General features: G+C 42.4%; 2 protein-coding genes and 1 long non-coding RNA gene across 4 annotated transcripts, besides 2 other annotated features; all 3 read left to right on the forward strand.

Moving 5' to 3' along the window:
- On the forward strand, positions 5-23,632 carry RBAK (RB associated KRAB zinc finger). Of its 2 annotated transcripts, NM_001204456.2 has the most exons (6): positions 5-103; positions 400-541; positions 2,178-2,236; positions 11,440-11,566; positions 11,829-11,924; positions 17,840-23,632. In NM_001204456.2, exons 3-6 carry the CDS (start codon positions 2,222-2,224, stop codon positions 19,744-19,746), a joined length of 2,145 nt encoding a protein of 714 aa, NP_001191385.1. In that variant the 5' UTR covers positions 5-103; positions 400-541; positions 2,178-2,221; the 3' UTR covers positions 19,747-23,632. The 2 variants fall into 2 exon arrangements, with proteins under 2 accessions (NP_001191385.1, NP_066986.1); NM_021163.4 differs by having other exon boundaries at positions 5-541.
- On the forward strand, positions 5-27,366 carry RBAK-RBAKDN (RBAK-RBAKDN readthrough). Its single transcript, NM_001204513.3, has 6 exons — positions 5-103; positions 2,178-2,236; positions 11,440-11,566; positions 11,829-11,924; positions 26,507-26,642; positions 27,067-27,366. The coding sequence occupies exons 2-5, from the start codon at positions 2,222-2,224 to the stop codon at positions 26,608-26,610; spliced, it is 342 nt and encodes a 113-aa protein (NP_001191442.1). The 5' UTR covers positions 5-103; positions 2,178-2,221; the 3' UTR covers positions 26,611-26,642; positions 27,067-27,366.
- Positions 145-354: a silencer, noted in NCBI's record as "silent region_17907". NCBI's record gives its function as "represses an Ori minimal core promoter by ATAC-STARR-seq in GM12878 lymphoblastoid cells {active_cell/tissue: GM12878}" and the evidence as "EXISTENCE:reporter gene assay evidence [ECO:0000049][PMID:35858748]".
- Positions 505-614: an enhancer, noted in NCBI's record as "active region_25569". NCBI's record gives its function as "activates an Ori minimal core promoter by ATAC-STARR-seq in GM12878 lymphoblastoid cells {active_cell/tissue: GM12878}" and the evidence as "EXISTENCE:reporter gene assay evidence [ECO:0000049][PMID:35858748]".
- RBAKDN (RBAK downstream neighbor) lies at positions 26,205-27,368 on the forward strand. Its single transcript, NR_015343.2, has 3 exons — positions 26,205-26,345; positions 26,507-26,642; positions 27,067-27,368. It is a non-coding gene; the product is annotated as an RBAK downstream neighbor (long non-coding RNA).
- Positions 27,369-27,902: the final 534 nt, after the last annotated feature.

Consider the following 27,902-nt stretch of genomic DNA (forward strand, 5'->3'; position numbering starts at 1 on the left):
CTGCACTGCCCTCGCTTCCTGTGCGTCCTCAGGTCACCGCTTGCTCTAGTTCCCAGGCTTTGGCCTCCAGTGGACGAGAATCGCGGAGCCTGCGGGGCTGGAGGTTGAGCGCCCGGGCCAGCACCTAGGCGGGCGCGGGGGTGTGCAGGCCAGGGTTCGCGCGGGCCGGGTGGAGGCTTGAGCGGGGACCCCCGAGCTTGAGCCCCGGAGCCGGCGGCGCTGGGGCCAGAGGGGCCGGACGGGAGGTGGCGGAGGTGGCGGCGGAGGCGAAGGGGCGGCGGGACGCGGGCCTGGCCCGTGTGTGTCCTGGCGGCCTGGCCCAGGCTGCCGCTGTACGGTGAGCCCGAGGGAGGCGGATCTGGGTCCCGGGAAGGACACCCGCCTGGATTTGCCCCTTAGGCCCGGCCCGGGCCCCTCGGGAGCAGAACAACCTTAGTGAGGTGGACAGGAGGGGACCTCGCGAGCAGACGCGCGCCAGCGACAGCAGCCCCGCCCCGGCCTCTCGGGAGCCGTGGGGCAGAGGCTGCGGAGCCCCAGAAGGGTAGGTCTTGGGTTTTCGGGCCCGGAGCGAGAAGGGCCTGAGTGAAGTCACCGTGTGTTGGGGACCTTAGAGTGTGGGGCAGGGGGAGGGTCTCGATCGCTTGCAGGAGAGACGTGTGTTTGGGTTTGAGGGCAGGGTCCGGCTGCACCGAACAGGCGCTGCATGGGAAATCTGGGAGGACGAGGCTTATGGGGGCCTGGAGGGTGTCACCAGCCTCAGCTGCGGACGTCGTCTCCACTCCCCGCTAACCCCTAACAGCCCTTCCTCCTCCTTTCCGTGCTCCAGATTTCGACCTCCTCTAAACGTCCGTCAGCGCCTCTGTTCTCTCATTTAAGTGTCTGCTGATTCCCCCCTTAGATCTGCCCTGGAGACTGGTAGTAATGCAGGAACAGTCTGCAGGGATTCTCTCTTGCTGCCTCAGTTGCTAGGGGAAGAGACTGGGCCTTAGCAGGTGGGTGACTTGACCGGGTCACTGGCTTTGTGGGTAGAGTTGCTCATAGTAGAACTCAGGAGTCTTATCTCCCAGGCCAGTGTTCTTTCTCCCGTATCCTAGTTTTCTTAATAGAAGATTATTAGGTGCAGCAATAACCAAGTTCAGTTAGATAATTTAGAAACAAAACCATATTTTATACACATTCATTTCATTTCTGAGAGCTCACATACTCAATTCCTATGGCTTCTTTGATTTTAAGCAGTTTAAAGAGACAATAAGAAAATGCGGGCCGGATGCAGTGGCTCACACCTGTAATCCCAGCACTTTGCGGGGGCTAAGGCAAGAGTATCCCTTGAGACCAGGAGTTAGAGACCAGCCTAGGCAACATAGGGAGACCCTGACTCTACAAAAAATACAAAAGTAGCCAGGCATGCTGGGATGCACCTGTGGTCCCAGCTACTCAGGAGGCTGAGGTGGGAGGATCAATGGAGGCCAGGAGGTCGAGGCTGCAGTGAGCTGTGAATGCACCACTGCACTCCAGCCTGGGTGGCAGATTGAGACCCTGTCTCAACAAACAGACAAACCACAAAAAACATGAGCTGTATAATGGGAATTTTTTTTTTCTTTTTGCAGGTTGTATTTGATGATGGCAGACTATTTGTAAAAGGAGTCATGTTACCCATGAGAGTCTCACTCATCTGATTACTACCTGATTATCTTAGAGTTACAAAGTTACAAGTGCATGCTTCGCCTATCACTCTTTTTCACTCTCTTTTTTTTTTTTTTTTTTTTTTTTTTGAGACAGTGTCTCTCACCCAGTCTGGAGTGCAGCAGTGTGGTCTCGGCTCACTGCAACCTCCACCTCCCAGGTTCAAAGGATTCTTGTGCCTCAGCCTCCTGAGTAGCTGGGACTACAGGCATGTGACACTATGCCTGGCTAATTTTTTTGTTATTTTTAAGTAGAGATGGGGTTTCGCCATATTGGCCAAGGAAGGCGGATCACTTGAGGCCAGAATTCGAGACCAGCCTGGCCAACATGGCGAAACCCTGTATCACTCTTTTAGGCCCTTCTGAGTGTTTGCAGGCTGAGTGTTCACAGGGTGTTAGCCTATTGAGCTTTCTTTTGTGGTTCTTACGCAGGAGATTCCTGCCTTTGCAGGCCAGAGCACTCATGACTTCAGTGACCTGCTTCTCCCCCTCTAGGTCTACCAGCCACAGTCTCTGCACGTTTCCAAGAGCAGCAGAAAATGAACACATTGCAGGTGAGTTTTCATGCTTGTGTATATGTTCCTCAACTTTATTTTATGATGCATTTTAAGAGGTTTGTAAGGATTCTTACCTTTTTTTTTTTCTTTTTTTTTGAGATGGAGTCTTGCTCTGTTGCCCAGGCTGGAGTGCAGTGGCATGATCTCGCTTCACTGCAACCTCCACCTCCTGGGTTCAAGCGATTCTCCTGCCTCAGCCTCCCGAGTAGCTGGGATTACAGGCGTGCGCCACCATGCCCAACTAATTTTTTGTATTTTTAGAAGAGACAGGGTTTCACCATGTTGGCCAGGCTGGTCTCAAACTCCTGACCTCAGGTGATCCTCCTGCCTCAGCCTCCCAAAGTGCTGGGATTACAGGCATGAGCCACCGCGCCCAGCCAGGATTCATACTTTAAAATGGGAATGTGGAAATAGACATTGTCCTGTAAAATATAGTTAGTGTGGCAGATCAGCACCAAAAATGATTTGTGAAGCTTGTATGTGTGGATAGTAGATTTTAAGGCTGTTGAAATTGAGCCGCACCCAGGACTGATATTCTTGGCAGTCATCACAAAAGGAAAATGCCATCTGTATTAGTCCATTCTCACACTGCTATAGAGAAATAACCAAGACTGGGTCATTTATAAAGAAAAGAGGTTTAATTGGCTCACGCCTGCAGGCTCTATCATAGGAAGCATGGCTGGGGAGGCTTCAGGAAACTTACAGTCATGGTGGAAGGCAAAGGGAAAGCGGGTACATCTTCCATCACCAGAGCAGGAGGAAGAGGGAGGGGGAGGCGCTACACACTTTTAAACAACCACGTCTTGTGATAAGTCACTGAGTGTCAGGAGAACAGCACCAAAAGGGAAATTGCCCCCATGATCCAATCACCTCCCACCAGGCCCCACCTCCAACATTGGGGATTACAATTGAACATGAGATTTGGTTGGCGACACAAAGCGAAACCATATCACCATCCATGACATCATTTGCATTCATTATAAGGAGAAACCAACTTTGTTACTTGTGGATTTAAAAGATTTTCTAGGACTTGGAAAAATTTCTTCATTCAAGTTGATATAATTGCGGATAGCTTTCCTAATAACAACCATTAAGTTACCATAACTTATGGCTTATTCTTGGTGCTTATGTAAGCAGAGGGCCTGCCTGCTGCCCAAGGAGAACTTGGTGCATATAATTTTTCCAGGGAAGGAAACATTGTGATCCCAGTAGACAGAATTCTGTTTTTACTGTTGAGTCCTAGATCATGGGGGGAATGAATGACATGATCATCCTTCAAATATTTGTTCGTCTTTCAGTTTGGGTTGCACAGCAAACAATACAGTTACTCTCTTGTGAAGATTTCCTCATTTCTGTTTCTCATTTCAGTTCTCAGTGTTTTAGTTTTGTCCTTTTCACGTTGCTGAGTCAGTCTGTAAAGATTACCAGTGATTTCATTGCAGTCAAATCCAGAGGGGATTTCCTAGCCCCTACCTCCCAGGACCCTTTGTCTGCCTTTGACATCTGTTACTTCCAAACTGATACTTTCTCCATGGAGTCTCTCTTTTCTTGGCTTTTAAAAAGATTCGTCTGTAAGTATTTCTGCTTGTCTTTAAATGATGAAGTCTGTTTTGTTTTGTTTTGTTCTGTTTCTTTTTTTCTTTTTTTGAGATAGGGTCTTGCTGTGTCACCCAGGCTGGAGTGTAGAGACGTGATCACAACTCACTGCAACCTCAGTCTCCTGGGCTCACACGATCCTCCTGCCTCAGCCTCCTGCATAGCTACAGGCGCAAGCTGCCACACCCGACTAATTTTTTTATATTTTAGTAGAGACTGGGTTTCACCATGTCACCCAGGCTGGTCTTGAACTCCTGAGCTCAGGCAGTCTGCCCGCCTCGGCCTCCCAAAATGCTAGGATTACAGGCGTGAGCCACTGCTCCCAGCCTAGAGATGTATTCCCACTGTATTGCTCAGACTGGTCTCAAACTCCTGACCTCAAGCAATCCTTTCACTTTGGCCTCCCAAAGTGCTAGGATTACAGGTGTAAGCCACCACACCTGGCTAATAAGGAATCTTTTTGAAAGGGGCTAGGAATAACCCATAATACTCTCTTAATACATGTGGCAATTGGGTTAAATCTTTTAATAGTTCCTATATTATGTCTCTTGCGTGCTCATTGTTTTGAAGAAACTGGGTTGGTTATCCTCAGTTTGGATTGTGTTACCCTTGTTTCACCTTTAGCACATTTAAAAAATATATCTTTTATGCCTTGTTAAATTGGTAGTTTGATCTGGAAGTCTAATCAGGTTTATGTTCAATTCTTTTCACACAGCTGTACCGTACGTGGCATTTGTCTACTTCTGGAGGCATGTGTTACCTTCTTTGTTTTTGTGAACTTAAGAACTATTGACTGTTGATTATTGCTGTGATTTACTAGTTCATTAGGGGAGGCAAAATGGTGATGTGCTAATTCTACCATTTCTTCTTTATTTACTAGCCAAAATACCTTTCTTTTCTTTTCTTTTTTTGGAAACAGAGTCTCACTCTGTCACCCAGGCTGTCGTGTTTACGGCTCACTGCAGCCTCAAACTCCTGTGCTCAAGTGATCCTCCCACTTCAGCCTCCCAAGTAGCTGGGAGTATAGTCATGTGCCACAATGCCCAGCGAATTTTTTAATTTTTAGTAGAGACAGGTTTTGCTATGTTGCCCAGGCTGGTCTTGAACTCCTGGGCTCAAGTGATCCTCTTCTTTGACCTCCCAGTGTTGGCATTACAGGCATGAGTCACCACAGCTGGCCTAGAATACTTTTCTAAAGATAAATTTCTGTTCTCTATTTGGTTATGTAATTCATGCAGGAAAGACAGTTTCTAAAATGTTGAGTAGGCTTCTAAGCAGGAAGGTTTTTTTGTTTTGTTACCATTATGAGCTCGTGGGTTTAAACAGATAGTAAATATTTCAGTACATCAAAGTTGTGATTCTTTTTGAAAATTAAATGGCTCCATCTTTGGCCAGACAAAATCCCTTTAAGTTGGTTTCTGAGTCCTTTTGAAATATATTTGATATATTTGATAGCAAATCTATACATACAATATATATTTGATAGCATTATTTTCTGTTCAGCATTTTATTTTGAAATCATTTCAAATTTTCAGAAAAATTGCACGGATTTTACAAAGAAATCCCAGCTACTTCCTTTTGTTCAGATACTTCATTCTTAACATTTTCCCACATTAATCATTTATATGCATATATACATATATGTGTGTACATATTTTTATATATTTTTTTTCTGAACTGTTTGAGAGTGGGTATGATTTGTCATGCCTCTTTACCTTATAAAGTTTTAGATTATATCTCATAAAATCAAGAACTTTCTATTAAATACCCATAGCACAGTAATTGAATTCAGGAAATTTATCATTGATTTAATACTTTTATCTAAACTGTAGTTCATTTTCCAGTTTTGCCAATTTCCCAATAATTTCCTTTATAGCAATTTTTAATTTTTGGTAGAAGATTCAGTCTAGGACTGTCAATTGCCTTTAGTTTTCATGCTTTTTAAGGCTGTTTAATACGGATTTGTTCCTCAGTGCCATTATAATATTTGCAGAATACAGGCCAATGATATTATAGAAGTCTTTAAATTTAGGTTTCCCTGATCTTTCTTCATGATTAGATTTAGTTGGTGAATTTTTGTCTGGAACACTACATGGGACCTCTTAAATTTATGGCTCAGAATAGGATCTGTCTTGGGAAACTTCTGTGCATGCTTGAGAAGATGGCTTGTTCTGCTCTGGTTGGGTGGAGTGTTTGATAAATGTTAATGAGATCAAGTTGGTTGGTTGTGTTGTTCAGGTGTATTATATCCTTGTTGATTGTGTGCCTACTTGTATCAATTGTTGGGGAGAGGGGATTGAAATCTGCTGCATTTGTGGTTCTCTTTCTCTTTGCAATTTTACCACTTTTTGCTTTATGTATTATATTAGATACATAAATGTTCAAGGTTATTACATCCTGTTGATTAATTAACCACTTTGTAAAATGGCCTTCCTTATCCCTGCTAGTATTCCAGGCTGAAATGTACTTTGTTATTTATGTAGCATTCTTTTGAGTAATGCATGCATGGTATATCTTATTCCATCCTTTTACTTATAACGTATTTGCATCTTTATATCTAAAGTATTATTTCTTGTAGGCAGCAAGATTTGGATCTTGCTTGTTTTCATCAGTCTATTTCTGCCTCATAATTGGGGATGTATAGACTGTTTACATGTAATGTAATTATTGATAAAACTAGTTAGGTTATAGTCCATTGCCTTTGCTTTCTTTTAGTCTCATCTTCTTTGTTTCTTTTTAAAATGTCTTTGTTTGTCTTCCTTCCTCTTGATTAATTGATAATTTTTTATGATTCTACTTTATATCTTTTGTTGAGTTTTTAGCTATCACACTGTTTTGTTATTTTAGTGAGTTAGAATTTATAGTATGCAACTTTAATTATCATAGTTTATTCTTAAGTGATATACCATTTTTCTTAGAGTAAGAGAAGCTTACAATAGGATACTTTCATTTCTCTCCTCTTGGTCTTTACACCGTTGTTCATTTTATTTTTACAGGTGGTATCAGTGCCACACAGAATCTATTACGTTGTTGTTAATTAAACAGTTATCTTTGATTGATTGATTGATTGATTGATTGATTGATTTTGAGTTGGAGTCTCACTCTGTCCCCCAGGCTGGAGTGCAGGGGTGCGATCTTGGCTCACTGCAACCTCTGCCTCCCAGGTTCAAGTGATTCTCCTGCCTCAGCCTCCCGGGTAGCTGGGATTACAGACACCCACCACCACACCCGGCTAATTTTGGTATTTTTAGTAGAGATGAGGTTTCACCATGTTGGCCAGGCTGGTCTCAAACTCCTGACCTCAGGTGACCTGTCTGCCTCAGCCTCCCAAAGTGCTGGGATTACAGGTGTAAGCCACCACACCCAGCCCAGTTATCTTTTAAAAAGATTTAAGTAATGAGAGAAAATACACAGTTACCATTTCTGGTACTCTTCATTCCTTTGTGTAAATCTAAATTTTTATTTGCTGTCATTTTACTTCTGCCTCAAGGACTTTCTTTAACATTTCTTCTAGTTGATGAATTCTTGTACGTCTGCAAATGTCTTCATTGTGTCTTAGCTTTTAAAGGTGTTTCTGCTGGATATTTCTCCACAGTGCTTTAAATATGTTTCTCTATTGTCTTCCTGCTTACATTTTTTTCTAAGAGAAATCTGATCTCATATTCATCTTTGTTCCCCTGTATATAACATGTCTTTTTTTCTTTCCCCCCTTATGTTGTAAACTTTTTATCACTAGTTTTGGGTAATTTGATTGCAATATGTCATGGTATCATTTTTTTCATGTTTCTGTTTTGGGGATCACTGAACTTCTTGGATCTTGGGTTTATGGTGTCATCACTTTGGGAACATTTTTATCATTATTTCTTCACATACCCACCACCTCCCCTCCATTGATTCTTGTTGCCTGTATATTAGGCCACTTGAAATTTTCCCACAACACACTGTTGCTCTTTATTTGCTTTTAATTCTTTTTTCTCTGTTTCATTTTATGTAACTTCTGTTGCTGTCTTTATATTCACTAATCTCTTTTTTCCACGATGCTGTTAATCTTGTCCAGTATAATTTTCATCTCAGATATTGTAGTTTCTATCTGTAGAAGGTTAGCGTGGGTCTTTTTTACATCTTGCCTGTCTCAATTTTTTTGAACATGTGGAATAGAATGATGAACTCTCTCAGTGCTCTGTGTGGGTTGTAAACTCTGTCAATTCTGGGCCAGTTTTGATGGACTGATTCTTTTCTTCCTTATGGTTGTAATTTCCTGCCCATTTTCCCATCTCGCAACTCTTACACCTCACATCTGTCTCTGTTCTTCTTCCCTGCTCTGTGGCCTGGAAACACTCAAGGCAGAAGTTGATTGGTTCACCTTGTTTATTTCCCATCACTCATAGATAACTCTACTGCCTGATAATCAGTGCCTTGAAAACCATTGCTTCAGCCCGGGCGTGGTGGCTCATACCTGTAATCACAGCACTTTGGGAGGCCAAGGAGGGCAGATCACAAGGTCAGGAGTTTGAGACCAGCCTGGCCAACATAGTGAAACCCCTTCTATACTAAAAATACAAAAATTAGCCAGGCATGCTGGTACACGCCTGTAATCCCAGCTACTTGGGAGACTGAGGCAGGAGAATCGCTGGAACCCGGGAGACGGAGGTTGCAGTGAGCCAAGATTGTGCCATTGCACTCCAGCCTAGAAGACAAGAGTGAGACTTTGCCTCAAAAAAAAAAAAAAAAACCATTGCTTCATATATGTTCTCCGTTTTATTTTTCTTTCTGTTTTTGATTTTGTTGTTGCTGCTGTTCTTTGTTATGTGCCATTTCAGGTTGGAGGGTATATCCAGTACCTGTTAGTTTATCACAACTGAGGGCAGAAGTCCTCATGTCTCTCTCTATATATATTTTTTCTAATATATATATTTTTTTCTTTGTAGAGACAGGGTCTTGCTATGTTGCCAAGGCTGGTCTCAAACTCCTGGCCTCAAGCAGTCCTTCTGCCTCAGTTTCCTGAGTGCTGGGATTACAGGCATGAGCCACTGCACCTGGCCTGGATCCAGTTTTGTCCATGTCCAAATGGTGTTTTTCCCTGAGCTGTTTTTGATTTTCTTCCACCTCATATGAACTGTAGTGTCAGCTTATCTAGTTCCAGGAAAAAGCTTTTTGGTATTTTTACTGGGGTTGCATATTTATAAAGTAATTTAGGGTAACTGACTTACCCTAGGTAGGGTAAGTTGACCTTAATAATACAACTAATTTTTTTTGTTTGTTTGTTTTTTAGTAGAGATGGGGGTTTCACCATGTTGACCAGGCTGGTCTTGAACTCCTGACCTCGGGTGATCTGCCCGCCTCGGCCTCCCAAAGTGTTGAGATTACAGGCGTGAGCCACCGTGCCCGAGCACTTTTACTTTTTCTTAGTTATATTCCTCTAATTGTTTTATCTTCTCTAATTGTAGATAATGAGCATTTTATTAATACCTTGTTCTTGATCTTAGTAGGAAGGTATGTAGTTTTTCCCTGTTAAGTAAAATCCTGACTTTTGGACCGAGAAGACTGAGGCATAAATGTGTGTGTGTGTGTGTGTGTGTGTGTGTGTGTGCGTGCGTGTATATACACACAAACTGTATATATATGTGCTTGTGTGTAATTGAAATACATATGTCACATATATATCATACATACTATTGCATATTAGGGTGCAATATTTATATTTGTGTATATACATGTTATTGATGTTAATGAAGTATCCATCAGTTTCTATTTTCTTTAGTTTGTTTTTTTAAATCAGCTTTTTCTGTCAAGCTTTTTCAGGTATCTTCACGGATACAAGATTTTTCTTCTTTGCTGTGTTATAGTGGCTTATCATATTAATAGATTTCCAAATATTAAACTAGTCTATATTATTGGAATAAGTCCCATTTGGCTATTGTATATTATGTTTTTAATCTGGTACTGGATTTTGTTTGATTATGTTTCATTTTGGGTTTTTGTATTGATGTAAGTGGTATTGGCATGTAATTTTATGTTATTTATTGGTTGATCAGTCTTCTAACCCCTACTACCTCCTTGCCTTCTGGACTAACTTAACCCAGAAGGTTATTACTCTCTCTCGGTGATTTTATCAGCTCCTGTGGCCTGACTGTGGATAAGCTTGGATGTTCTGCTTTAGTTTCTCAGCCCACAGCCTAGCGGCCCTGCCTCTGCTATCTCTTGGGATCTACATGGTCCTAGCTGTATCACTGGATTTGAACCCCTTGTTGATATGTTCTTTATAAATAATAGGATAATGCAGCCTGCTTACTGGGCACTTCCTTTTTCTAAACTACAAGTTTGGGCAGGGCGTGCTGGCTCAAGCCTGTAATCCCAACACTTTGGGAGGCCAAGGCAGGTGGATTGCTGGAGCCCAGGAGTTTTGCATTTTTCTTTTTTTTTTTTTTTTTTTTTGAGACAAGGTCTCACTCTGTTGCCTAGGCTGGAGTGCAGTGTTGCATTCACAGCTCACTGCAGCCTTGACCTCCCAGGCTCAAGTGATCCTCCTGCCTTAGCCTCCCAAGTAGCTAGAACTACAGGCGTGTGCCATGATGCCCAGCCAATTTTTTTTTTTTAATTTATTTTTAGCAGAGATGAGGTCTTACTATGTTGCCCAAGCTGGTCTCGAACTCCTGAGCTCAAACGATCTTCCCATCTTGGCCTCCCAAAGTGCTAGGATTATAGGCATGAGCCACCATGCCCAGCCCCAACCACTTAAAAATTGAAGCTGCTTCCCGTTTGCCATTGGTACTTTGTACACCTCATCATATTCTTCTTCCCCTTCATCCCATAGAATGCACAATTCATCTTTAAAGACTTCAAGTTAACTGAGTCTGTGAAGCCTAATCTGATGGCATAAAATTAAAATAATTTGATCCTCTTTTGTTAAATCATTCTGCACCTTGTCTGCATTACTCTAATAACAGCTTTGGGCATTCATTCATTTAACGAATATTTATTGCTCCAAGATTGAGATGTTTGAGATAAAACTCAGCCATGCAGATAGCCAGAGGCCACTGGCTATGAGAATAAAAGAGCCAAAAGAACAAGGAGCTGAAACTAGGTGAGAGCCCCAGAGCAGTGAGTTAGGAGGAAGAGGACCAGGAGCTGAGTGGTGGGCACTCCAACATGAAGAGGTCCAGGGCAAGGGGAGGGCCTGGCAGCAAGGAAGACTAAAAGAAGTGACAAGGAGTAAAATGCTTGTGTTTGTTTACATGTTTATCTCCTTTTTAGGTTGTTCACTTTGGGAGCAGGCATGGTGTTTCACTCATCTCATGTCCCCAAAGCTCAGCTAGTTCACTTGCAAAATAGGAGCTCAGTTGTGTTTTGGGTTTTTATTTTTGTGGGGCAATATATATATATTTTTTATATATATTATATATATTTATATATATTATATATTTTATATATTATGTATTATAACCCCAAAGGATATGTGTTTCCAATATGATTTCCCTTCCATAATCTGTAACATAAAATAAGGTATACAATGTTTATGGTTAACTTTACCGGTGGGCTTTGTAAAACGTTATCCCCCTATCCCTTTTCCGTATCTCCCAATTCTGATCATGTTGCCATTACAGGGGCCAGTGTCATTCAAAGATGTGGCTGTGGATTTCACCCAGGAGGAGTGGCAGCAGCTGGACCCTGATGAGAAGATAACTTACAGGGATGTGATGTTGGAGAACTATAGCCATCTAGTTTCTGTGGGTGAGAATAGCTTGCTTTCTGAATGCTCTCAGTTGAATGGGGTTTTATCCTTGAGTTTGAAGAAATAAGTGATGACACCATTTAATTCCTTGTGGGCACTAGCTGGAGTGTTTATATTATTATTCATTGAAAGGTTCTAACTTTGATAAGGTAAAAAATGGAGCACTTCTGTTATGCAGCTTATGAGGTGGCAACATCTTGTACTTCAGAGATTCTGAAGCCAAGCAGCTTCCCCAAGTCCTCCTTCTTTTCCCATTAACAGGATATGATACCACCAAGCCAAACGTCATCATTAAGTTGGAGCAGGGAGAGGAGCCGTGGATAATGGGAGGTGAATTTCCATGTCAACATAGTCCAGGTAAGTTAGTAGCGTATCAAAGGTTAAAAAATGCTCATCCCAGACCTTTGGGAGAGACTAAAGAGTTGTTTATATGTATTCAGTACCCTCAGTAACACCTCCCAACCCCCAAATATCACTTTCCTTCCCGCACACATACATGAACTCTTTTGTTGATTTTACATTTGATTTACATTGGTAGGGATTTTTTCATTCTAACCGGTACTGGAGACCCATTCACTTCCTCTTTCTCCAGCATTATTGGTAACTTATTTACTCCCTTGCCATTACAGAATTGTTTTGGGTTTGTTTGTTTGTTTGTTTGTTTGTTTTGGAGACAGAATCTTGTTCTGTCACCCAAGCTGGTGTGCAGTGGTATGATCTCAGCTCACTGCAACCACCACCTCACAGGTTCAAGCGATTCTCCTTCCTCAGCCTCCCAAGTAGCTGGGATTACAGGCACATGCCACCACGCCTGGCTAATTTTTATATTTTTAGTAGACACAGGGTTTCACCATGTTGACCACACTGGTCTTGAACTCCTGGCCTCAAGTGATCTGCCCACCTCAGCCTCCCAAAGTGCTGAGATTACAGTCCTGAGGCTCCCGGCCTTACAGAATTGTTTTGTTTTGGGGCATTCAGAAGTCTGACATAAAAATCAACTTGAGACTTTTATGTTCATTCCTTTTATCTTCCATTTTCTTTCCTTCCTTGCTTTAAAAATACCTTGGACTTATTTTCTGCCCTCGATTTTATTTACTTCTTTAGGCATTCAGATACCAAAACCTCATCCTCCACCTATGCTTGTGAACTGAGTCACAGCTTGTGGTGTCTGTTATTTCCCAAAGTCCATGCTCAGTTGATGTGACGCTATAGCACTCCCTCAGCCTTCGTCTCTTTCCCCACTGCTCATGACCCGTCTGTGTGTTCATTTCCCCTTCCCCATAACTGGAATCATGCTCTGTCCATAGTAGACATTCAGGAAGTGTGAATTTCATAAGTGAATGTCGGTTCCTTTTCTTGCCTTTTCAGGACTGTCCCCCTAGGACCTGTTTTCCACTTTTTTGGTTTTCTTTGTATCCCTTAAAAGAGTTTATCTAATCTCACCTTCTAAGACCTTTTTTCCTGTGTATTTTTGCAGCTTGCCTCCAAATTGATACGTCTGACACTTTTAACCTGGAGTCTAGTTGAATATTTTACTTGACAACATAGCAGTTACCAGGGAGATAGTTCACTTCCTTCTTTCTCAGAATGTCTGATGATAAACTGTGCACATTCCAAAATCATGAATTCTGTCTACCTTCCTCACCTCCCAGTATTTGATTGTGCTAGTCTTGTCTCCATGGTTTGTGTTCTTTGTCTTCTGTGAAATGCCTGGCAGAGCGTCAGCACATTCTGTTTCTTTCGACATTCGTGTTCAGTATTCTCCCATACCTGGATTTCAGTGGATCCATCTTCCATTCAAATGATCATTGTCCTTTTCCTTCATCTGCATTTTACTTGCCCACATAATACATATTTTCCCTCCCTTTCTTCCTCTCCTCCCTCTCTCCCTTCCTTCATTCCTTCCTTCCATTTTGAGACAGAGTCTCACTCTTGTCGCCCAGGCTGGAGTGCAATGGCATGATCTCGGCTCACTGCAGCCTCCCCCTCCCAGGTTCAAGCGATTCCCCTGCCTCAGCCTCCCAAAGTAGCTGGGATTACAGGCGCACGCCACCATGCCTGGCTAATTTTTATATTTTTATTAAAAAAAAAACCACACATAACATACAATTTACCATCATAACCATTTTTAAGTATACAGTAATGTTAACTGTATTTGCATTGTTGAGCAATAAACTTTAGAACTTTATGCTTTACATTTGAACTGAAAAGGTTAGCTCCTTGAAGTTTCCTTCATGGTTCATTGACCACTCCAGTCTTTCCTTCTCTTAATATCTATTCCAGTCAGCGATTGTTACCTCAAAAAGTTAGATATGATTTTACAGTCCGATAGGATTATATGCTCTAAGATCATATTCTCTGATAGGAGTGTATGCTCTATGAATATAAGCTCTAAGATTGTGTGCTCTGTGATTATATGCTCTGATAGGATTATATATTCTAAGATTATATGCTCTGATAGGAGTGTATGCTCTATGAGTATAAACTCTGATGGGATTATATATTCAAAGATTATATGTTCTGATAGGATTATATGCTGTGATAGGAGTGTATGCTCTATGAGTATATGCTCTGTTAGGATTATATGCTCTGAGTATAAGCTCTGATAGGAGTATATGCTCTGTGATTCTATGCTTTGATAGGAATATATACTCTAAATGATTATATGCTCTGAGAGGTAGGTGCATATATTTGTTGCTTGAGCTTCTTCTACCGAATTATAGTCCTCCAAAGAGGAAAGACCTTTTTACTCTTCTTGCTTTTATAATGCAACATACAGTAGGCATTCAGTAGGTTTTTATTGACTTACCAAGGAGCTAGGTAAAAGAAAGATCTTTATCATTAATCCATCAAGAGATCATTTATTCTGAACCACAGATTCTGATAAAACAGATAGGGGTTAGATTAGAACCTGTAAGCACCCATCAGATTAGGAACTACTTTAATTTCTATTCAGAGAGATTCAAAGAAAATATGAATATTTTCCAAGGGCATAGGTTTTGGTTAGGAAATAAGATAAAAGCTGCATGAATTACTTTAAAATTCAGCTTTCACATGGATAATTTATACTCCAATGCACATTGTGCAACTTTAAGAAGCTATTTTAAAATGTAAGGGAAAGAGATTCAATGAACTGGGAAGAGATTTGATAAATGTCTTCAAGTTTCCCCCAAAGTATAGATAGATTTTGAGTATAGCCAACACCAGGAGTCAAATTGAATGAGGAAGATCACGAGTACAGACTTGTGGCTGAGAATAAGCAAGGCATAGCCTAGGCTTCCAGGAGCAGAAGATGTTGACAGATTAGTGGAATGCTAGCTTGGATATATATTGTGAGTCCAAGTAGTGAAAAATCCCGTTAATAACCTTTCTGTTTCTTCTGTTGGTGTTTGGGGTGCTGGAGCTCAGAGATGTTGTAGATTTCTGAGCAGAGTACCATCAGGGTTGCATTGAATGTGGGTGATAGCAGCTAAAAATAGTTTGTGCATCCAAAAATTTGTAAGATACATAAAAATAAAAGTACATCATAGGGGCAGCTTTAGGAATCTGAGATATAAGATTTTACACCAAATGAAACCCAGGAGTTTGGGAACTCTTGTTTGTATTCAGAATTAAGTAAAAGAATTATACAGAGACATGACTGGTTTTAGGAAATTTAAGTCAGCAAATTGAAAGAAAATTAATGGCTCAACTTAATGAGCATTTGTTTTATGTTATAAACTGTTCTAAGCAGTTTACATGTACTAATTCAGTCCTTTGACAACCCTATGATTTAGGCACTCATATTCACATTTCAGATGAGTGAAACTGCATCACAGTTACACAGCTTGACCAAATGCCCTAGTTAGTAAATTGTTGGGGGTTTGAACTGAGGTGACCTGCTCTGGTGGTCATGCTCTTAACCACTGTGCTATATTGTGCAAGCAGGGAAAGCAGAATTTAATGGCTAGGAAGGTTAGCTAGTATTAAATATGACTTTCAAAACACTTCAAAGATCTGATCTTGGGTTTTTTGTTTTGTTTTTCTTTTTCTTTTTTTTTTTTTTTTATAGTAGAGACAGGGTTTTGCATGTTGCCCAGGCTGGTCTTAAACTCCTGAGCTCAGGCGATCCATCCACCTTGGCCTCCCAAAGTGCTAGGATTACAGGCATGAGCCACCATGCCCGGCATGATCTTGTTTTTAAGATATTCCCTGGCCGGCCACGGTGGCTCGTGTTTGTAATCCCAGCACTTTGGGAGGCTGAGGTGGGTGGATCACCTGAGGTCAAGAGTTCAAGACCAGTCTGGGCAACATGGTGAAGCCCTATCTCTACTAAAAATACAAAAATTAGCTGGGTGCGGTGGCGTGTGCCTGTAATCCCAGCTACTTGGGAGGCTGAGGCAGGAGATTCGCTTGAGCCTGAGAAGTGGAGGTTGCAGTGAGCCAAAATGGTGCCATTGTATTCCAGCCTGGGTGATAGAGCGAGACTCCATCTACAAAAAAAAAAACAGATACCTTGTCTTCTGGTCTATCTTATGTTTCTTTTGGACATTCACATGCCTGGATCTCTCCTCCAGATGAATGTGAATCCTCTCTGTAAACGTGAGGAAATCAAAGCATTCAGAATGCTTATTTGCATTTATATGCAGACTAGTAAGGCATGGATTTTGGAAGGGATGCCACCATCGTAGTCTTGATATGAAGTGATATCTTGCAGTTTAATATAAATTGTAATAGATGTCTCCCACATGTAATCCATAATGGAGTCTTTCCTTTGCACGGACACCTAGCACCTGTTTTTGTTCCTCCTGATCCCATTTGTATCGGGGAACCTGCCCCGATAGTCACGTAGGTTCTTTTCTATTTTCCCTAAGCATCGGCTGGTTTGAGAAATAAAGGAACAGAGTACAGAAGAGAGAAATTTTAAAGCTGGGCGTCCGGGGGAGACATCACATGTCGGTAGGTTCTGTGATGCTCCACAAGCTGCAAAACCAGCAAGTTTTTATTAGGGACTTTCAAAAGGGGAGGGAGTGTACAAACAGGTGTGGGTCACAGAGATCACATACTTCACAAGGTAATAGAATATCACAAGGCAAATGGAGGCAGGGCAAGATCACAGGACCACAGGACCGGGGCAAAATTAAAATTGCTAATGAAGTTTCAGGCACCATTGTCATTGATAACATCTTATCAGGAGACAGGGTTTCGAGAGCAACCGGTCTGACCAAAATTTATTAGGCAGTAATTTCCTCTTCCTAATAAGCCTGGGAGCACTATGGGAGACTGGGATTTATTTCATCCTTACAGTCTCGACCATAGACGACGGCCACACCTAAGGGGGCCATCTATAGGCCCACCCCTAGGCGCATATTCTCTTTCCCAGGGATGTTCTTTGCTGAGAAAAAGAATTCAGCAATATATCTCCCATTTGCTTTTGAAAGAAGAGAAATATGGCTCTGTTCCACCCGGCTCACCGGCAGTCAGAGTTTAAGGTTATCTCTCTTGTTCCCTAAACATTGCTGTTTTCCTGTTCTTTTTTCAAGGTGCCCAGATTTCATATTGTTCAAACACACGTGCTCTACAATTTGTGCAGTTAACGCAATTATCACAGGGTCCTGAGGCGACATACATCCTCCTCAGCTGATTAAGAGATTAAAGTAAAGACAGGCATAGGAAATCACAAGGGTATTGATTGGGGAAGTGATAAGTGTCCGTGAAATCTTCACAATTTATGTTCAGAGATTGCAGTAAAGACAGGCATAAGAAATTATGAAAGTATTAATTTGGGGAACTAATAAATGTCCATGAAATCTTAACAATCCATGTTCTTCTGCCATGGCTTCAGCCAGTCCCTCCGTTTGGGGTCCCTGACTTCCCACAACACATTTGATCTAAGTCCTCCCATCTTTGCCTGGATCTGACGTACTTTCAACCACTTCTCTGCTCATCATTTGGTTTTATTTCACCTTTTCTACCAAAGTTTGAAACATAATATTTGTAAAGCAACAAAGTTACCTGTATTCAATATGAATTTACTCTTCTATTTTCTACCACTGTCTCACCTTAATTCTTTCACTGTGTGTGTGTGTGTGTGTGTGTGTGTGTGTGTGTGTTTCTGTTTTGTATTCCAAACCAAAGGAAAAAGAGAACTATGCATTTGTAATTATTTTTATTTATGGAGATTGGCTCTAAAGCCAGAGTCAACCCCACAATGGGGGCTCTTGAATACCAGTACCTTTCCATAGCTAGTGTGTTCAGATTTACAAAGTTTGTTTACTATTTTTCCTTTTTAGAAGCCTGGAGAGTTGATGACCTGATAGAGAGAATCCAAGAAAACGAAGACAAACATTCAAGGCAAGCTGCTTGTATCAATAGCAAAACCCTGACTGAAGAGAAAGAGAATACATTTAGTCAAATTTACATGGAAACAAGCCTTGTTCCTTCAAGCATAATAGCTCATAATTGTGTCTCATGTGGAAAGAATTTAGAATCTATTTCGCAATTAATTAGTAGTGATGGAAGCTATGCTAGGACAAAACCTGATGAGTGTAATGAATGTGGGAAAACATATCATGGAGAGAAAATGTGTGAATTTAATCAAAATGGGGATACCTATTCTCACAATGAAGAAAATATTCTTCAGAAAATTAGTATTTTGGAGAAACCCTTTGAATATAATGAATGCATGGAAGCCTTAGACAATGAGGCTGTTTTTATTGCTCATAAGAGAGCTTACATAGGGGAGAAGCCCTATGAGTGGAATGATTCTGGACCAGACTTCATACAGATGTCAAATTTTAATGCATATCAGAGATCACAAATGGAAATGAAGCCCTTTGAATGCAGTGAATGTGGAAAATCCTTCTGTAAAAAGTCAAAATTCATCATCCACCAGAGGGCTCACACAGGAGAGAAACCTTATGAATGTAATGTATGTGGGAAATCCTTCAGCCAAAAGGGAACCCTCACTGTACATCGGAGATCACACTTAGAGGAGAAGCCCTATAAATGTAATGAATGTGGGAAAACCTTTTGTCAGAAGTTACACCTCACTCAACACCTAAGAACTCATTCAGGAGAGAAACCCTACGAATGTAGCGAATGTGGGAAAACCTTCTGCCAAAAGACACATCTCACCCTGCACCAGAGGAATCATTCAGGAGAGAGGCCCTATCCATGTAACGAATGTGGGAAATCCTTCTCCCGCAAGTCTGCTCTCAGTGACCATCAGAGAACTCACACGGGAGAGAAGCTTTATAAATGTAATGAATGTGGGAAATCCTACTACCGAAAGTCTACTCTGATTACACATCAGAGAACACACACGGGAGAGAAGCCCTATCAGTGTAGCGAGTGTGGGAAATTCTTTTCTCGGGTGTCATACCTCACTATACATTATAGAAGTCATTTAGAAGAGAAACCCTATGAATGTAATGAATGTGGCAAAACCTTCAATTTAAATTCAGCCTTCATTAGACATCGGAAAGTACACACAGAAGAGAAATCCCATGAATGTAGTGAATGTGGAAAGTTCTCTCAGTTGTATCTCACCGACCATCATACAGCTCATTTAGAAGAGAAACCCTATGAATGTAATGAATGTGGGAAAACCTTCCTTGTAAATTCAGCCTTCGATGGGCACCAGCCACTTCCAAAAGGGGAGAAATCCTATGAATGTAATGTATGTGGAAAGTTATTCAATGAGTTGTCATACTATACTGAACATTATAGAAGTCATTCAGAAGAGAAACCTTATGGATGTAGCGAATGTGGGAAAACCTTTTCCCATAATTCATCCCTCTTCAGACATCAAAGAGTACACACAGGCGAGAAACCCTATGAATGTTACGAATGTGGAAAATTCTTCTCTCAGAAATCATATCTCACTATACATCATCGAATTCATTCAGGAGAGAAACCCTATGAATGTAGTAAATGTGGAAAAGTCTTCTCTCGGATGTCAAACCTCACTGTCCACTACAGAAGCCATTCAGGAGAGAAACCCTATGAATGTAATGAATGTGGGAAAGTCTTTTCTCAGAAGTCATACCTCACTGTACACTATAGAACTCATTCAGGAGAGAAACCCTATGAATGTAACGAGTGTGGGAAAAAATTCCACCACAGATCAGCCTTCAATAGCCATCAGAGAATTCATAGAAGAGGAAATATGAACGTACTTGATGTGGAAAATCTCTGAAGTCAGATCTCAATTTTTAGAAAACTCTCTGAATATAATGAATATGGGGAATCCAATAGGAAGTCAAAGCGTTTATCTGAGAGTTCGTGTTCCTGAACGGTGAGAAGCATTTAGGCATTAGAGTCATTTTAATCCAAATTTTCACAGAGAAGAATCCCGAAGAATGTAACAAGAAGCAAAGCCTTCAGCAAGATCATACGACTCATCGGACACTAATTTATATAGGAGTGAAGTTTTATAAATATTTAATATTTATTTTGGATTCAAATTGTATTTACATATCAGGGAATCATACAAAGGCAAAATCTGTCAATATGGTGAATGTGGAAAATATATTGTCTTGGAAATTTGTTGTAAAAGCCATATTTCTAATGGAAAATCAGGTGTTTACAGGAAAGATCTCAGAGGCTATGAGCTCTGAATAAATCTTCATTGTATAAAATGAAGTTTTTAAATTGTCAGGAGTTGATCATGAGGACAGTAGCATTAAATAAGTATATGGCCGTTTTTTATCATGTCTTAAAAATGCAATCTAATGGTAATTCTATGCAAGTTTGGAATTGGATGACTTGTGAAGAGGCAGTTTTCTTATTTGAGTATTAGGATGGCAAAATGTATTAAGACAGGACATATTGTTGGTGAGATAATATTTAATAGGTATAAAATGGTAAAATACCTAGTTTTCTATTTAGAGGAATTTACAAATGGGTTTTTAACAAATGCCTCATTAGTACAGGAGGCAGTCGTTTTGTAAAGTTTTCAACTGCATCTGAGTAAGATAAGATTTTCTAAAAGACTATTTTGATAAACTATACATACATAATTTGGAATTGTTTAAGTCTATTTCAGTGAAAGAGAACAAGCATACTGCCCATACTCTAAAATATCCCCAGCTCTCACACCACCCTTGTTTTTTAACCCATAGGTTTGAGTGTGCCTAGTGCCAATATTTTGTAATTTAGAAATTTTATTCACAAACTTCTGTTTGGTACAAATACAGTGTCATTGTTTTGTGCATTCTCCTTTTTCCCAGTATTTCAGAACAAATTGATTCAAGTTTCTAGCAGATATTTTTTGATCAATTAACTTAATGTCCTCGCTCCATTTCTTGCTGGAACAGTTTAGGTACCTACCACTTCTTCACATGACACAGGGGAATCCTGATTAGTCAAAATAATAATGATTTCATTCTCTTTGCCAGTAACTTGTTTTATAGTGGTCATATGACCTGATACTGGGTAAACAAAACAAAGATGGACTTGTTCTGGGAAAAGGTAAAATGGTAATCAAATAGATTGTGTTCCAGGAATGCAAAGGTGGCTTAATATTCACAAGTCAGTTGCTATTATACACCACCTGTAGAAAAGTAATCTGGCATGCAGAACATTCTTGTGGTACAATTAATGTTCGTTTATGATCTTAGCAAATGATGGATTGAAAGGGACTTACTTAACTGCATAAAGAGACTTAAACTACAACAAACAATATGCTTAATGATGAAATAGTGAACATTTCTCCTAAGATTATAAAAATAAGACAAGGATATCTGCTGTCAATGATTTTATTCGGCATTGTTCAGAAGGACCTAACCAGAAAACTAATGCAAGGAAGAGAAACAAAAGGCATAGAGATTAGAAAAGAAGTAAAACTTTAAAAACGAAAAAGAATATAAATCTCTATTTGCAGATGCCATGAGTAAATTTGGTAAGTTCCCTGCATAAAAGTTATGCAAAAAGCATTTTATGATATACCAGCAAAAAACATGGAAAATGAAATTTTGAAAAGCAATGCCACTTCAAAGATCCCTCAAGTGCCTAGAGGGAGAAAATGAGTTAATATGCTTTGAAGAACTGTATCCAGAAAATAAAATTACAAAGGAGGAGAGGGATAGGATTCCAGGACAATCTCAAAACTATTGCTTTTTCCTAAATTCATTGCAACCTTAAAATCCTAGCAAGTTCTTTAATGTAAATTAACAAGCTAATTCTAGAATTCATATGCATATTCAAAAGTCGAATAATTGTCAAGGCTATCCTGTAGAATGGACAGAGAGGATTGAAATTTCTAAATATCAAGACCTGTTATAAAGCCATAGAAATAATGAAGGTGTTAATTTGGCACAAGGATGAAAAAACTGACTAGTGGAACAGCATACAGATTCAAAAGTAGACCCACGTGTATACCATCACCTGAGTTTTGAGAAAGGTGACATTGAAGTGTAGTGGGGGAAAGGGTGTTCTTTCCAGTAAATGTACTTTGCCAATAAAATTTTGTAATTTGATAAAAAGTTATTTGGAGGTGGATTGCAGATCTGAATATGAAATGTGAAAGCTTTACAAAGAAATCTTAGGACAGTTTGTAATCTTGGAGTAAGCAAAGGTTTATTGAGACCCAAAAAGCATTAACCCATAAAATTAGAACTTAATATTAAATTTGAGAACTTCTATTTATCAGAAAGACCACCAGTAAGAAAATGAACAGGAAATCATGGGGAGGAGAAGATATTTGCAGTTCATGTATGTGACAACAGCACCGAGTATAGCAGAAGTGTTGGCAAACTTTATAAAGCAAGGCACCAGATGGTGAAAATTTTCAGCTTTGTCACAACTGCTCATCTTTGCTATTGTGTGAAAGCATCCATACACCATGCATTAAAAAAAAAATGAGCATGGCTGCTTCCCAGTAAAACCATTCACAATCCCAGGTGGCAGTCTGGATTTGGTCTGCACTCATAGTTTTCTGGTCCCTGATCTCGAATATGTAAAGAGCACCTACAAATCAACAAGGGGGAAACTGGAAAAGGCAAAAGACTTTAGAGGATATCCACTCACTTTAGAGGATATCCAGACGGCCAATAAGCATGAAAAGATGTGTTAGCTTTATTAGTAATCAGGGAAATGCAAACTTAAAACATGTAGCACTGCTACCCATCCATGGAAATGGTTAAAATGAAAAGCATGAAAAAGCATCACGTTTTGGCAAGGATGTAAGCAAGAGGAACTGTACACTACTGGTGGAATTGCTCATCGATAAAACCATTTTGAAAGCTGGCACTAAAAGCCAAGCATATGTATACTGTTTTACCCAAACCCAGCAAAAATGCATGTGTCTGTCCACCAAAGGACATGCACTAGAATATTTATAGCCTAAAACTGCACAAAACAGAACTATCTTAAGGCACATGTGCAATGGAATGAATAAAGAAGTGGCATATGTCCATGGAATACTGTAAAACAGTGAGCATGAATGAACTAGAAGTCCGTGTAATAACGCAGCTGAATTTAACAAACCTTGCTGAATGAAAGACTCCAGACACAAAAGCCAACATGCTGTATGATTCCTTCTATATAAATTATAAAGACGGGCAAAACTTGTATACGTGGTTTAAAATTAGGGTAGCAGTTAGCCTTGGCCAAGGCTGAAAGGGGGCATTTATCTGGTGCTGGGAATAATCTGTTTCTAAACCTAGGTGCTAAGTATTTGAGTGTGTTTTGAGCTGTGCACTTAAGATATGTGTATTTTTCTGCATGTGTGTTAAACTTTCCATAAAAGTTTTCTAAAATCACAAATGGCTAACATTTGTGTCGCTCATCACTCTAATCATATTTTTCTAGATGTGTATGAATATGCTGCACAACAGGAATTAAATGGCAGATTTTGCATAATTCTGTGCAGGAAATACATATTTATAGTAATTTTGATGGCAACTACTAAGATTTCCTACGCTGTCCTTAAAGCTTAGCATAATGTATATTTTAAGTGAAATATTTGAGAAGGTTAAAGAATCATTACATACTTTGTCATCCTATACTTTTGCATATATAAATAGGTCTGAGCTGCCTCTTCAATAAAGAAGCTAATGTGTAACATTTCATATTTCCCTAAACAAATTGTTTTTTGCATTTCTGAATTCGGGATTCATCTTAACTTTTACTGTAGGGGTGACCTTTCTTGGCAGTGAATGAATATAATGCTGAGTTGGATTTGATGGAAAATTATTTTAAAAGTATTCAGCTAAATATTTGAGCAAATCTCAGATACACAGTTAACAGCCCAGATGTAAGTGAGTGAAAGAAACAGGTCAGCAAAACTTTGCACCATTGAAAAAAAAAAAACACTTTGGGTGAGGGCTGGCTGAGCTTGTAAAAGCACAGCAAGAAGGACGTGACATTGGATGGCATAGACTGTGTGCCTCTTTTTTTTTTTTTTTTTTTTTTTTGGTGGGAAGGCATTTGTTTTTTGTTTTTCTTTCTCTTATTTTTAGAGTCAAGTTCTCACCACAGCCTGCAGTGCAGTGGTGCAATCACAGCTCACTGCAGCCCCGACTTTCTGAGCTCAAACGAGCCTCCCACCTCAGCCTCCTGGGTAGCTGGGACTACAGGTGCATGCCCCCACACCTGTCTAATTTTTTTATTTTTTTCGTAGAGACAGCGTCTTGCTGTGTTGCTGGACTCAAACTCCTGGGCTTAAGTGGTCCACCCAACTTGGCCGCCCAAAGTCCTGGGATTCCAGGAGTGAGCCACCTCGTCCGGCCATGTGCTTTTCATTCCACCTTACTCATTGAGGGTTAAGCTGAGCTGAAGTGTGAACAGGTGACTAATGCTTTGCTGAAGGAGGGGGAATCTGGGAGTTGGTTGGGACTTGGGGGTGTGATTCCCCCACAATGGCTCCCTTTGCTCTGTCACTCCTTTGGCCAGAACCACCAGGCAGTATGTAAGCAAGGCAGGGGCTCGCCCTTCACCCCCACCGGAAGTGCCCATTTCACAGATTTTCTCCCCCCACGCCCACATTTGCTGGTGCTTGGCTTGGGGTTGGCGAACTTTTCAATGTTGTCTCTAAATTATGGCAAAAGACACAAATGCAAGACTACTACTTTATACCTGAGGCCAAAAATTCACCCACTGTTCCTTATTCCATCCCAAATTATGTCCAGATATGAGGATGCTAGGCTCTTCAAAGAAGGGAAGCAGACCAGGCACACCTGTAATCCCAGCACTTTGGGAGGCTGAGGTGGGAGGATCTTGAGCTGAGGAGTTCAAGAGCAGCCTGGGCAACACAGCCAGGCCCCATCTCTATTTATTTCGTGTGTGTGTCTTTTGTTTGTTTTTGTTTTTTGAGATGGAGTTTTGCTCTGTCGCCCAGGCTGGAGTGCAGTGGCTCAATCTCGGCTCACCGCAAGCTCCGCCTCCCGGGTTCATGCCATTCTCCTGCTTCAGTCTCCCGAGTAGCTGGGACTACAGGCGCCCGCCACCATGCCCGGCTTATTTTTTGTATTTTTAGTAGAGACGGAGTTTCACCGTGTTAGCCAGGATGGTCTCGATCTCTTGACCTCGTGATCCGCCCGCCTCGGCCTCCCTAAGTTCTGGGATTACAGGTATGAGCCACTGCTCCCGGCTCTAATTTTTGTATTTTTAGTAGAGATGGGGTTTCACCATGTTGACCAGGCTGGTCTCAAACTCCTGACCTCAGGTGATCCACCCGCCTTGGCCTCCCAAAGTGCTGGGATTACAGGCGTGAGCCACTGAGCCCAGCCAACATCCTCTATAAACCCCCTCTAAAAAGCAGAAATGGGGTTAACCTGTACCAGGAAGTAGCTATGTGATTATTTTTTCTTTCCAGGCAAGATTGCAGCACTTCCCTGGAGAAAATGAGTTCTGGCAAAAATAACCAGACATTTGAGGAACTCAGTCACCAAAGAACAAACTGCACCACCTATGCTAAAGACTCTCAAAGAAATAAGAATATATTGGTAATGTTTGGGAGACTGAGGCAGGAGGATCTCTTGAGGCCCGGAGTTCAAGACCTGCCTGGGCAACATAGTGAGACTCCGTCTCTACAAAAGATAATTTTAAAAATTAGCTGGGCATGGCTGCGTGTACCTGTGGTTCCAGTACTCAGGAGGCCGAGATAGGAGGATCGCTTGAGCCCAGGAATTTGAGGCGACAGTGAGCTATGATCATGCCACTCCATTCCAGCTCGGGCAACAGTGAGACCCTGTCTCAAAAACACAAAAACAAAAAAAAACAGGCATGCAAAGAAGCAGAAAAACAGAACCCATAATGAGTAGAAAAATAACAAAGACCCAGAAATGGCATAGATGATGGAATTAGTGATCAGGACATTAAAACAGCTACTATGAATATTCCCCGTATGTTCAAGAAGAATGGAGAATGAACGAGAGTGAGGGACCGGAAACGACTGTGTTCCATGCTGAGGGTGGCAGAGGCTGGCCTGGATGCTGGATGAGGCTCAACTCGGGGGCCTGGGCTGTTGCACTGGGGCTGGACTGGGGATCACGGAAGAGGGCCAGGCCCGCGTGGGTCTCCAGGGCTGTGCTCAGGGGCGTGGTCTTCTGCAGTGGGGGCTTGGCTGGTGAGTGGAGACTCTGCGTGACTCTGGGGGCGTGGCCGAGAATGGGTGTAGCTCTGTACTAGGGCGTGGTCATGCGTAGGGGTTTGGGTGAGGCGTTAACAGTGGGCGGGCGTGGCTCGGGCTCGAGGGCGTGGCTCAGGCTCGTGGAGGCGTCCGAGCTCCAGGGCAGCTCTGGGGCAGAACTGTCCGGATCTAACAATCCCTGGGGAGCCGGAGACCGGTGACTGGTCCGTGGGCTAACTCAGGGCTGCTCGGGAGACATAGGCGGGCCGTGGGGGCAGGTGAAGGGTGCTGGACGTGCGAGCCTGGCACGCAGAAGCCAGAGGGCAGAGAGGAAAGGGCGTGAAGAGGGGGCGGGGCCCCTAACGCCCACCTTGTCCCCCGACAGCCGCCCTGCCCGCAGGCCATGTGGCCCCCGCTGTTGCTGCTGCTGCTGCTGCTCCCGGCCGCCCCGGTCCCCACCGCCAAAGCCGCTCCCCACCCGGATGCTAACACCCAGGAAGGCCTTCAGAACCTGCTCCAAGGTTTCAACCGCCCCATGCTGGAGGGGAGGGGCGAGGAAGGGGACTGGGGGCGGGGGGATGGACGGGAAGAGAGGAAGTCAGGGACGCAGGGAAAGGAATAGAGGAGACAGAAAGATGAGGCACTACAGACCCAGCACAGGGAACTGGATAAGGACAAGGGACCAGACAGGGGTGGGAGGATGACTGGTGGGGTCCCGAGGGTCAGAGGGTGGAGAACATGGGTTGGGCTGCTGGGCCCCTTGGCTTCGAGGCCGGCCACACACCTGGAACCCCCAGGGCACCTGCTGCGGGACAGGGACAGCGTCCCCGATGCCCCCCCTCCCCCAGGCACAGCGACAGCACAGAGGACCAGGGGGCTGCCTGGCTGAAGAGCATCACCCTTTCTAGCCAGCACCAGGAAGTCCCCCTTTATCCCCTTCCCCAGGAGTCGGGGCTGGCGGAGACGGAGAGCTGCGGGCAGACTCACACCTGGCCCCGGGCTCTGGCTGTATTGATGGGGCTGTGGTGGCCACGCGACCAGAAAGCCGGGGAGGAAGACCTGCGGTTCCGTGAGAGGCGTCCAGGGCTGCAGGCCACGGCGACAGGCTCCGGGGAACATGGGGCTTTCCCTGTCCACTCCCAAGGAGTGTGGGCCTCAACGCATTGGCAGGGGACGGCCGTGTGCCCTCTCCAGACCCCACCCCCAGATGCATTTATTAGAAATAATAAAGTTCTTTCTTAGCTAGAGGTGCTGTTTCCTTTTGGGATGGGCCCGTGCCTGGTAGGCCAGGCTGTTCTGGGTTCCTCCCAGCTCCAAGCCTGGCCCTGTCTCCAGGAGGCACCTGCACTGGTTGAGTTCTCTGGGCCCCGTGTTCAGGCACTGTCTCTGTCTTCTGATGAAGCAGCTGTGTCCTCCAGTCCCTGATGCTGACGTCCCCAGACCCTTCTCTGCACTCAGTCTGCCCATGTCACCTGAAGCCCCATATGTGTACTCGATCCCTCAATGTCACCTGCAGTCCTATTTGTCCACTGGGTCCCTATCACCTGCAGCCCCAGCTGTGCACCCAGTCCATCACCTGCAGTGGGTTTGTACACTCAGTACCTGTCACCTGAAGCCCTGTCTGTGCACTCCGTCCCTGACTGTCACCTGTAGCCCTGCCTGTGCTTCCGGTCCCTGACCTGTCACCTGCAGCTCCATCTGTGCACCTGGTCCCTGACCTGTCATCTGCAGCCACTCTGTGCTCTGTCCTTAACTGTCACTTGTAGCCCTGTCTGAACACT

Source organism: Homo sapiens, chromosome 7 (genome assembly GCF_000001405.40).
Source record: "Homo sapiens chromosome 7, GRCh38.p14 Primary Assembly".
NCBI classification, from domain to species: domain Eukaryota; kingdom Metazoa; phylum Chordata; class Mammalia; order Primates; family Hominidae; genus Homo; species Homo sapiens.